The sequence below is a fragment of the Homo sapiens genome, chromosome 12 (assembly GCF_000001405.40).
Source record: "Homo sapiens chromosome 12, GRCh38.p14 Primary Assembly".
Classification (NCBI taxonomy): Eukaryota; Metazoa; Chordata; class Mammalia; order Primates; family Hominidae; genus Homo; species Homo sapiens.
In genome coordinates, this window is record NC_000012.12 from 131,336,030 (window position 1) to 131,347,356 (window position 11,327).

Sequence of the window (11,327 nt, forward strand, 5' to 3'; positions counted from 1 at the left end):
TCTGGAATTTTAGGATCCCTCCTCAGACTAGCAGGCCTAGCAAAGGCTGTTCCCGATGGGGAGCCTCAGAAATTATAGACTCCAAAATTAGGAGGATATCCTTCCTCTTCAGATGATTGTGAAGACAAAATGCATCACTCTTCCAACCTTGGAGATCCCTTCCCTCCCTCAGGGTATGGCCCTCCACTCCCTTTTGGGGCATATCATCTTCATAGGACAAGGGTAAGGTCCCAATACTAACAGAAGAAAACTCTTAGGACTCTAACAAGTTTTTGAGAATGTGTCGGTAAGGGCCACTAAATCCAGTTTTTTTCAGTCCTCTTTGTGGTCTAAGAGGAAAGGCAAAGGTGCAGGTTTTTGAGAACGTGTCAGTAAGGGCCACTAAATCCAACCTTCCTCGGTCCTCTCTGTGGTCTAGGAGGAAAACTAGTGTTTCCGCTGCTGCTTCAGTGAGTGCAACTATTCCGATCAGCAGGGTCCAGGGACCGTTGTGGGTTCTTGGGGGAGAGGGTGGGACAAACAAAGCAAAACCATGGGCAGTTTTTTCTTTCAGATGGGAAACACTCAGGCATCAACAGGCTCACCTTTGAAATGCATCCTAAGCCATTGGGACCAATTTGACCCACAAACCCTGAAAAAGAAGTGGCTTATTTTTTTCTGGACTATGGCTTGACCCCAGTGTTCTCTCTCTGATGGGGAAAAATGACCACCTGAGGAAAGTATAAATTACAATACTATCCTGTGGCTTAAACTTTTCTGTAAGAGGGAAGGCAAATGGAGTTAAATACCTTGTGACCAAGCTTTCTTTTTATTGAAGGATAATCCACAACTATGCAAAGCTTGCAATTTACATCCCACAGGAGGACCTCTCAGCTGACCTCCATATACTAGCCTTCCTATAACTCCCCTTCCTATTAATGATAAGCCTCCTCTAATCTCCCCCACCCAGAAGGAAACAAGCAAACAAATCTCCAAGGGACCATAAAGCCCCCCGGGCTATGGGTTATGTCCCCTTCAAGCTGTAAGGGGAGGGGAATTTGGCCCAATCTGGGTACATGTCCCCTTTTCCCTCTCTGATTTAAAGCAGATCAAGGTAGACCTGGGGAAGTTTTCAGATGATCCTGATAGGTATATAGATGTCCTACAGGGTCTAGGGCAAACCTTCAACCTCACTTGGAGAGATGTCATGCTATTGTTAGATCAAACCCTGGCCTTTAATGAAAAGAATGTGGCTTTAGCTGCAGCCCGAGAGTTTGGAGATACCTGGTATCTTAGTCAAGTAAATGATAGAATGACAGCCGAAGAAAGGGACAAGTTCCCTACCGGTCAGCAAGCTGTCCCCAGTATGGATCCCCACTGGGACCTAGACTCAGATCATGGGGACTGGAGTCACAAACATCTGTTGACCTGTGTTCTAGAAGGACTAAGGAGAATTAGGAAAAAGCTCATGAATTATTCAATGATGTCCACCATAACTCAGGAAAAGGAAGAAAATCCTTCTGCCTTCCTTGAGCAGTTACAGAAGGCCTTAAGAAAATATACCCCCCTGTCACCTGACTCCCTCTAGGGTCAATTGATCCTAAAAGATAAGTTTATTACCCAATCAGCCACAGATATCAGGAGAAAGCTCCAAAAGGCAGCCCTGGGCCCTGAACAAAATCTGGAGGCATTATTATACCTGGCAACCTCGGAGTTCTATAATAGGGACCAAGAACAGGCCAAAAAAGAAAAGCGAGATCAGAGAAAGGCTGCAGCCTTAGTCATGGCCCTCAGACAAACAAACTTTGGTGGTTCAGAGAGTACAGAAAATGGAGCATGCCAATCACCCAGTAGGGCTTGTTATCAGTGTGGTTTGCAAGGACACTTTAAAAAAGACTGCCCAACAAGAAACAAGCCACCCTCTCACCCATGTCCACAATGCCGAGGCAATCACTGGAAGGTGCACTGCCCCAGGGGACAAAGATTCTCTGGGCCCCCAACCAGATGATCCAACAACAGGACTGAGGGTATGTGGGGCAAGTGCCAGCTCATGTCATCACCCTCATTGAGCCCCGGGTAAGTTTAACCATTGAGGGCCAGGAAATTGACTTCCTCCTGGACACTGGTGCAGCTTTCTCAGTGTTAATCTCCTGCCCCTGATGGCCATCTCCAAGGTCTGTTACCATCCGAGGAATCCTGAGACAGCCTGTAACCAGGTATTTCTCCCACCTCCTCAGTTGTAGTTGGGAGACTTTGCTCTTTTCACATGTCTTTCTTGTTATGCTTGAAAATACCACACCCTTATTAGGGAGGGACATATTAGCCAAAGCTGGAGCTATTATCTACATGAATAGGGGAAAGTTACCCATTTGTTGTTCCCTACTTGAGGAAGGAATCATCTCCAAAGTCTGGACATTTGAAGGACAATTTGGAGAGCAAAAAATGCATGCCTGCCCAGTCCAAATCAGGCTAAAAGACCCCACCACTTTTCCTTATCAAAGGCAATATCCCGTAAGTCCCGAAGCTCATAAAGGATTACAGGATATTGTTAGACATTTAAAAGCTCAAGGCTTAGTAAGAAAATGCAGCAGTCCCTGCAACACCCCAATTCTAGGAGTACAAAACCAAATGGTCCGTGGAGACTAGTGCAAGATCTTAGACTCATCAATGAAGCAGTAATTCCTCTATATCCAGTTGTACCTAACCCCTATACCCTGCTTTCTCAAATACCAGAGTAAGTAGAATGGTTCACTGTTCTGAACCTCAAGGATGTCTTCTGCATTCCCCTGCACTCCGACTCCCAGTTTTTCTTTGTCTTTGAGGATCCCACAGACCACACATCCCAACTTACATGGACTGTCTTGCCTCCAGGTTTTAGGGATAGCCCTCATCTGTTTGGTCAGGCACTGGCCCAAGATCTAGGCCACTTCTCAAGTCCAGGCACTCTGGTCCTTCAGTATGTGGATGATTTACTTTTGGCTACAAGTTTAGAATCCTTATGCCAGCAGGCTACTCTAGATCTCTTGAAATTTCTAGCTAATCAAGGTTACAAGGCGTCTAAATCAAAGGCCCAGCTCTGCCTACAACAAGTCAAATATTTAGGCCTAATCTTAGCCAGAGGACCCAGGGCCCTCAGCAAGGAATGAATACAGCCTATACTGGCTTATCCTCACCCTAAGACATTAAAACAGTTGTGGGGCTTCCTTGGAATCACCAGCTTTTGCCAACTGTGGATCCCAGGATACAGTGAGATGGCCAGACCACTCTATAATCAAGGAGACCCATAGGGCAAATACTCATCTAGTAGAATGGGAACTAGAGGCAGAAACAGCCTTCAAAACCTTAAAGCAGGCCCTAGTATAAGCTCCAGCCTAAAGTCTTCCCATAGGACAAAACTTCTCTTTATACTTCACAGAGAGAGAGTGGGAATAGCTCTTGGAGTCCTTCCTCAGACTTATGGGACAACCCCACAACCAGTGGCATATCTAAGTAAGGAAACTGATGTAGTAGCAAAAGGCTGGCCTCACTGTTTATGGGTGGTTGCAAAGGTGGCTATCTTAGTATCAGAGGCTATCAAAATAATACAAGGAAGGGATCTCACTATCTGGACTACTCATGATGTAAATGGCATACTAGGTGCCAAAGGAAGTTTATGGCTATCAGATAACCACCTGCTTAGATACCAGGTGCTACTCCTTGAGGGACCAGTGCTTCAAATACACATGTGTGTGGCCCTCAACCCTGCCACTCTTCTCCCATAGGATGGGGAACCAATCAAGCATGACTGCCAACAAATTATAGTCCAGATTTATGCCACCCAAGAGGATCTCCTAGAAGTCCCTTTAGCTAATCCTGACCTTAACCTGTATAGGATGGAAGCTCATTTGTGGAGAATGGCATACAACGGGCAGGTTATGCCATAGTTAGTGATGTAACAGTACTTGAAAGTAAGCCTCTTCCCCCAGGGACCAGCACCCAGTTAGCAGAACTAGTGGCACTTACCTGAGCCTTAGAACTGGAAAAGGGAAAAAGAATAAATGTGTATACAGATAGCAAGTATACTTATCTAATCCTACATGCCCATGCTGCAGTATGGAAAGAGACACTGGGAAGGATGAGGCAGTTTCTAAAATATCAATGTTCATAATACATGGGGAATTACATTTCTGCAACCATGTCTTTACATTTTAAATGAAAATACTTGATGTGAACAAGTGAGGAGATAAGAGTGAAGGGGTGGAGAGTTCGTGGAAATGGTTTAAAGCCCACCAGCGTGGAGGTGGTGGGGGCACCTCCAAGCACAGGTGGCAGATCCCGCAAGACAGGAGCAGCAGTTAAGGGGGCTGTGGGTGAAGTTGGGGGGCGGCTGATTGTGGGGGAGCTTGTGGTGGGCGGGAGCCCACCCTAGCTCAGACCCAGGGTCTCAGGAGGATGAAGGACAGCAGATGTGAGGGGTGGGGCCGGTCCTGCGGGACTGGACAGACCCAAGCTGCCAGGGCTGAGTCAGCCAAGGCTGTGGGGCCCCCTGTGTTACTGAAACCAAAGACGATTCTACCTCCCCAAGGAAGGTATGGGAGCCCAATGGAGTTCGAATCTCCTCTGAGCACCACACTCTTTAGAAAGCCCAAACACAAATTCTCTCCCTATTTTAAAAACTTCTTCCACTTTCAGTCCCCGAAACATGTCCTTAGACTGCCTTCTGGGGACTTTTCCACGGCATGTTAAAGGTTTGGGACTTTCAGGACAGTGGGAAGACATCGCAAGCTGTGTAACAGAGGAGTGGTGATTCACCCACGGAGTCATTTCTTGGACATTTGTGAGGCTCAGGATGTGCCAGGCCTGGGGCCAAATGCCTGCTGCACTCTCTCCTACAGCCGACAGAGACCCTAGACAGCAGGTGCTGTCCTCAGCCCCTTTCTCCAGATGAGAAAACCAAGGCTTGGACCTGCCCGAGGCCCCAGCCAGCACCTCAGCGGGGCTCCTGGGTCCTGGGGTCCTGGGGTCTGGGCCGGGCGAGCCCAGGGCCCTGCTCTGAGCAGACACAGCCTGCTGCTTTTCCACGGTTCTGGAGTTAGAAAACAATGGACACACGCTGTGAAAGCTGCTCAGCCCTTTGTCTTTGAAATGGCACCAATGTGGCCGGTTCTGGGAGTTCCCGGGAGAGACAAAGTAACTTAATCTTCCAGAGACTCAGTGAAACCAGCAATAGCTCTGGTGTCTCCACAAAGTTGGACAACTTCTATCCAATTAATTACCAGAACAAAACCAGAATCAGAAAACATCTTGGATTGCAAGAGTCTTTGGCAATACAATTTAACTCTTTCCACCCCTGGAATTAGAAATCCCATTAACAGCCTTTTAAGTTTGAAACAGCTGATTCCAGCTGAGCCTCATTAATTAGCAGCACCCGCTGGCTGTCTCTTCTCGGGGCTCCTAGGGAGAAGCACAGTCACTCAGAAAATGAGGCCAGGGTGATGAGTGACACAAATGGGCCCACAGCCTGGGACACAGGGGACACATCCACATCCTGTGGGAGCAAGGCACACCCAGCTGTCTTCCCATGGGCATCTGTAAGCCCCTCTGTGCACTGGGTTTCCTGGCACTACCCTCCCTGTGGAACCTGGCCGGCTGCCAGGAGAAGCTCAGTGGGCATCATGGGTGCTGGGCGGGGCCTCCCGTCTGCCAGAGGCTTTTATGAGCCCTGGGTGACAGCAGCCTGGGAGTCCTGGAGGGGACAGCTGAGGGGATGTCTCTGCTGCAGGCCACACCCCTGGCTTATCTGGGAGTCCCCTGCTCCCTCACTCTGTCCACATGGTCTGGTCTGGGTGGGGCTGACTCCACCCCCAGGTCAGGTGTGCTCCTGTGACCCAGACCTGTGAGAGGAGAACATTCCATTCCCATGGACTGGGTGATGGGTTCCGGGGTGGGCACTTGGCTGTGTGTCCGGAATTGGTTCCTTCCAGTAGGTTCTTGGTCTCGCTGACTTCAAGAATGAAGCCACGGATCCTCACGGTGAGTGTTACAGTTCTTAAAGATGGTGTGTCCAGAGTTTGTTCCTTTAGATGTTCAGATGTGTCCGGAGTTTCTTCCTTCCAGTGGGTTTGTGGTCTTGCTTGACTTCAGGAGTGAAGCCACAGACCTTCTCAGTGAGTATTACAGCTCATAAAGGTAGTACAGACCCAAAGAGTGAACAGCAGCAAGATTTATTGTGAAGAGTGAAAGAACAAAGCTTCCACAGCGTGGAAGGGGACCCAAGCGGGTTGCCACTGCAGGCTCGGGTGGCCAGCTTTTATTCCCTTATTTGGTCCCACCCACGTCCTGCTGATTGGTCCATTTTACAGAGTGCTGATTGATCCATTTTACAGAGTGCTGACTGGTCCGTTTTTACAGAGTGCGGATTGGTGCATTTACAAACCTTTAGCTAAACACAGAGTTCTGATTGGTGTGTTTACAATACTTTAGCTAGACAGAAAAGTTCTCCAAGTCCCCACCCGACCCAGAAGCCCAGCTGGCTTCACCTCTCAATCCCCCCTCTAAACAGGACACCCCAACTGCTGCTGGGAATTGGGCGATGACAGCTCTAGCTACTTCCTGCTGGATAGGGGCAAAGAAGGGGCCCTGCAGTTGTAGTGTCCTCCAGAGGGGAACTCTTTAGGCCAGCCGGTCGGTCCAGGTGTCCTCAATAGAAGTTCTTAGTTGAGCTCATTTGGGGTTTCATTTGTAAGACCATCTGTAGCTTGATGGCCTCAATTCTAGAGGGAACAAATTTGACAAGGAGGTTAAAAATACAGGGCCTGAAGGCAAGTAATAGCAAGATGGCTGTCACAGGACCTAGAAAGGGGAGAAGCCATGTCACCCAACTCCAGAGGGTGGTATAAGAGTTTGAAAGGCATTGTCTGATTTCAGAAGCCTTTTCCGGTAAACACCGGGTGGCATCTCGTACTATCCCTGACTGGTTAATGTAAAAACAACACTCTTCCCCTAAGAAGGTGCAGAGTCCTCCTTTCTCAGCAGTGAGGAGGTCTAGGTCTCAGCAGTTTTGGAGAGTCACTGCTGCCAAAGAGTCTATTTGGGATTGTAGAGTAAGGATAGATGTCGTTATTTCTTGCAAACTGTCTGAGAAATCCTTTGAGAGTGTGTGGTAGTCGGATAATGAAGTAGATAAACTGGCTATTCTGGTTCCTTTAGCAGTAGCCATTCCTAACCCTGTAAGTAGGGGTATTAGTTGTATGGCTCTGCGCTGACAGACTTGAACTTTGAGGGGTACTGATAGGGTCTGATTTCCTGGGGCAGTGTTAATGTTGGGACTTAGAAAGACTAAGGTGCAGGTGCCTGTCCAGGTGGTGGGGAGGCAGATATAGGTCGACGTTCCACGTAAGAAGAATATACCTTGGCTGGGTAGACAGAACTGGTTGTGTATGTTAAAAAGGTGTGAGTTTGTTGTTTTCATTTTCCCATACTCCTAGAGTACTTGCCAAGGTAGCTCCGGTGAGCAGCTGGAAAGGGGTGTTGGGAGCAAACTGAGTGGCTGCCTGCATTCTATTTTCCCATTGGAGAAAAACCGTTTTGTATCCACTAGGAACCATTCGAGAGAGTGACTGAAAGAGGGGATGAGAAGGCATTCACTAGTGGTAGGGGCACTGCTGCAGGGGTTCCAGGGGTGAACAGTCATGCAGGGAGTATGTTTGCCATCACAAAACCTGAACTGTTTGTTAAGCAGGGAAGAGGTGATTTTGGGGGGACCTGAGAAGTGGACAAGCTGTCTGAATGGAGCTGTTTGGGTGACTCAGAAGTTACTATGATCAGTTGGGGCTTGAAGATGTAGGGTGTAATTACACTGATGGGGTGGCAGGTGCCCCAGGGGCAGGCCTGATAACAGGTTGCACTGGATGCATAAAGGGGCTTAGAAAGTTAAGATGGTATTCGTAGTTACAGGGCAGTGTATGGGCTTTTCATTGCTTGTGTAATAGGTGAGGTTGGAAATGTAAGAACATAAAAGTTGGATTGTGGGTCCTGTTAGGGTACTCTTGGTCCTATCAGAGATGGGGAAGCCGGCTAATGGTTGCATATTTAGAAGTCGGAAAGGGTCTTTTCCTTCATAATGAGGGTGGTAGGTTAAGCTGGTAAAGACCCAATTTTTTGTGGGAATGGGAGTGGCAATGTAAGCAGAGGTTGATAGAGAGATACAAAGCCAACAGTCATTTGCCCAGGAAGGACTGGACTGGTTTAACATTGAGTGGGTTAAGTTGAGAGTCTTGTAGAGGTAATTAGGAGCTAGAGGAAGGGGAGGGGTGATTGTATGAGGTATCCAAGGAAGTAGGAGGGATAGACAGGCAGAGTAAATAGGAAGGTAAAAGGGTGCTCTGGAAGACAAGATCATTTTATCCAGGCTGAGTTAAAGGTAGGCATAAATTGCTGTCAGAAGGAAGGAAGATAGAAAGAAGGTTAATGTGATTAGGATTTTCGTCCCGGTAGGAGCTACAGTATGTAGTCCTATCCTGAAGAGTATGGTTAATACGCTGCTTAGTAATATGATGAAATAGTAAAAGGATTCCATTAAAGGGGGAAGGAGAGGTGTTACAGATAAAGATTACGTAGGCCTTCACTTATCTTTTTAAGGAGAAAAGGGTTTTCCTTCAGGATCAGTGGTAGGAGCCTTTTTAGTCTGGGATGTTTCCTTCCGAAATAGGAGATGCAAGTCCTCCAACGGTTCACAGGTGTATCAAGACTCATCTGGCTGATCTTGGGACCCCCGAGCTGACAGTTCTGCAGGTTCCTCAGGGGTTGTGGACACTCTCACACCCAGTGCAGCCGCCTGTGACCACCCAAGGACAGTGACGTGGTGCTGAATTTGCCTCCTGTGTGACGTCAGGACCCTGCTCCCCAGTGGGGGCCTCATCCCCAAAAATGTCTCTGGAGTCTTTGGGGTGCTGCTGTTGACACATGAGATCAGTCCTGCCATCTGATCTGGCACTGCTGCTGGCCCTGCTGCTGGTCACTCAGCTCCTGGCCACCATGCTGGGGTCTGAGCCCCACGGTCGTCCCCACCTCTCAGCCCAGGCACAGGAGGGACACAGGGAGTAGAGTGGGGTGATGCCCCCGTCACCTCCCGAGGCCCCGGGAGTGAGTGCCGGGACCCTCTGTCCTAACCCTCTGCCTCCCTGGGTGTTAACCCACCTGGGCAAAAGTGCGTGGTTCAATGCCAAGGCCAGGGCCATGGGCTCGGCGTTTCCCTGCAGAGTCCCTGGGCTTCTCGGCCCATCACAGGCTTGAGGATCAGCACCTGCAGCCCGTGGTGGTTGTTTTCTCATCTGTAAATGCGGATTTGGGCTTTAGAGCTGACTCTTTGTCACCGGGAGCACAGCCTGTCTTCTCTGTTCCTTTCCTTTGTGACTCAGAGGCCCTCTGCGCCTTGGTGGGAGGAAGAGGAATCATCCTTGTTGCTGACCCCCTGTGACGGTGCTGGCTGGACGGGGTGTGCATCGTGCCAGGAGCTGGTCCCTCATTCATCCTCACAGCAGCCCTCCCGGGCTCGCCCGCCGTGACTTTCACTCCCATTTCACAGACGAGGACCCTGAGGTCCAGGGAGGCTGAGTGGGCTGCCCTCCCCAGCTGGAGCCTGGAGGGGATTTGAACTCGCGCCTCGGGGCAGAGCCTGTTGCTGGCTGGGCTGGGCTGAGCTGACTCCCCAGGGCCATCAGCTCCACTGCATCCTGACCACCTGGGAACTGTGGCCAGCACTTTTCAGGCTCGAAGGCATGGCTGCTTACAGCGTGCCCGAGGATGGGTGTCATCGTCCTCACCCTCTGCACTCACTGTACCCGTCTTTGCAGGGTGAGGGCCCTGCCGGGTCCTACTCTGGGCACTGAGGTACAGAGGGAAGCCCTCCTGCCCTGCCCCAGGAGGGTGCTGGTCTCCACCAGGACACAGATGGAGGTGGATGAGGCCACAGCCCAGAGAAGAAGGGCAAGGTGGCAGGGGGTGCTGGTAGAGGAGTAGGACTAAGGGTGGTAGTGACACTGGTGAACCCCAGCTGAGGAGGGGCATGGACTCTTCTGCACATCAATGGGGAGCCACAGTATGTTGTAGAGGAAGCTCATTCTGCCCTGGGTCCCCAGGGAGCTAAGGTCTCAGCCACATTCACCCTCACAGCTGGGCCCTCCAGCCCCTCCCGCCCTGGGAAGTGTGGCCTCTGTTTTTGGTGAGGTCACAGCTGCAGGGAGGGCCAGGGCGCTGGATGCCTCAGGCTGCAAATGGCTTCACCCAATGCCTCCGGCTGTGGGGCAGAGGCCGGAGCTAGAAATAGACCCGCAGTGACCCCCACCCCAGCCACACAGTGCAGGCCTCCTGACCACAGGTCCTGGGCCACCCCTTCCTGCTCACATGGGAGGGAACCCTGAGCTTGAGGGAGGCTGTTCCCCAAACAAGGCCACCTTGTGTAGCTCTCTGAGGGCCTTTTATAATCTCCTTCCCTCCACCAGGACAGCCCAGCTGCAGCCCGTCCTCACCAGCGACCCCTGGGCCCTTCGCCTCAGGGCCAGGCAAGCGGGGAGCAGACAGCAGTGTGTGAGGAGGGAAAAGAGCCGGACTACGGGGACCCCCAGCCGCCCGCCAGCCCCTCCCCTGCAGCCTCTCTTCCCAGATGTCAAGGTCCCTGAGCTGCCCCGTGCAGGGAGCAGGGTCAGGTGAGGTCCAGCGGAGCCCAGAAGCTGTTGCAGGAGCAGGACGGAGGAAGCCCTGGGGGAAAGGCCCGGCTCCTGTCCTCCCTGTGTCCCCTCCCCTTCCTCTAAATGCCTGCCCTGCCTCCTGCAATGGTGGGATGGCCTGGAGGTGCAGAACGAGGCTGGCCCTGCCTTCTCTGGGGAGCTCAGCCACTGGAGGTGCCTGAGTCTGGGTTCATCATTGCAAAGACAGAACCTGTTCTGCCGTCTTTAGGGAAGGGAAAAGGGCCTGGGGGAGATGGGACAGTCCCCCTCATATCATTGGTGGCAGTGCGTGTAGGAGCAGTCTGTTTGGAGGACATTTTGTGTAATATCTATTCAAATCAGGTGTGCCCAGCCTAACCTGGGGGCCAGCCCTTTACCATCCTCACACGCTCACATCGGCAGCCAATACCTGGACCGTCTAACCAATCAACTGGTTCCATTGACTCACTGACTGGCCTAACCCAACGGCATGAGCAGGGCTGGGGCCACAGGGGAGGAGCAAATCTAGACAGCAGTACAATTCGCCATGTCTCCAGAAATTCTTTAGGACATTCTATTGTGCCTGTCCAGGCTCTGATGCTGGCCTCAGCAGCCCCCATCTCCTCCTCACATGAGGTCCTGGGCTGTTCCACTGAGCCCTCC

The 11,327-nt window shown here is 50.9% G+C and overlaps 4 annotated features.

Moving 5' to 3' along the window:
* Window positions 4,485–5,058: an enhancer, noted in NCBI's record as "NANOG-H3K4me1 hESC enhancer chr12:131825059-131825632 (GRCh37/hg19 assembly coordinates)". NCBI's record gives its function as "activates a minimal SCP1, AML or CMV promoter by ChIP-STARR-seq in primed H9 embryonic stem cells {active_cell/tissue: H9 hESC(primed)}" and the evidence as "EXISTENCE:reporter gene assay evidence [ECO:0000049][PMID:30033119]".
* Window positions 5,059–5,634: an enhancer, noted in NCBI's record as "NANOG-H3K4me1 hESC enhancer chr12:131825633-131826208 (GRCh37/hg19 assembly coordinates)". NCBI's record gives its function as "activates a minimal SCP1, AML or CMV promoter by ChIP-STARR-seq in primed H9 embryonic stem cells {active_cell/tissue: H9 hESC(primed)}" and the evidence as "EXISTENCE:reporter gene assay evidence [ECO:0000049][PMID:30033119]".
* Window positions 9,735–9,959: a silencer, noted in NCBI's record as "fragment chr12:131830309-131830533 (GRCh37/hg19 assembly coordinates)". NCBI's record gives its function as "represses an EF-1alpha promoter that drives an FKBP-Casp9 reporter gene in an ReSE screen in HepG2 liver carcinoma cells {active_cell/tissue: HepG2}" and the evidence as "EXISTENCE:reporter gene assay evidence [ECO:0000049][PMID:32094911]".
* Window positions 10,501–11,138: an enhancer, noted in NCBI's record as "H3K4me1 hESC enhancer chr12:131831075-131831712 (GRCh37/hg19 assembly coordinates)". NCBI's record gives its function as "activates a minimal SCP1, AML or CMV promoter by ChIP-STARR-seq in naive H9 embryonic stem cells {active_cell/tissue: H9 hESC(naive)}" and the evidence as "EXISTENCE:reporter gene assay evidence [ECO:0000049][PMID:30033119]".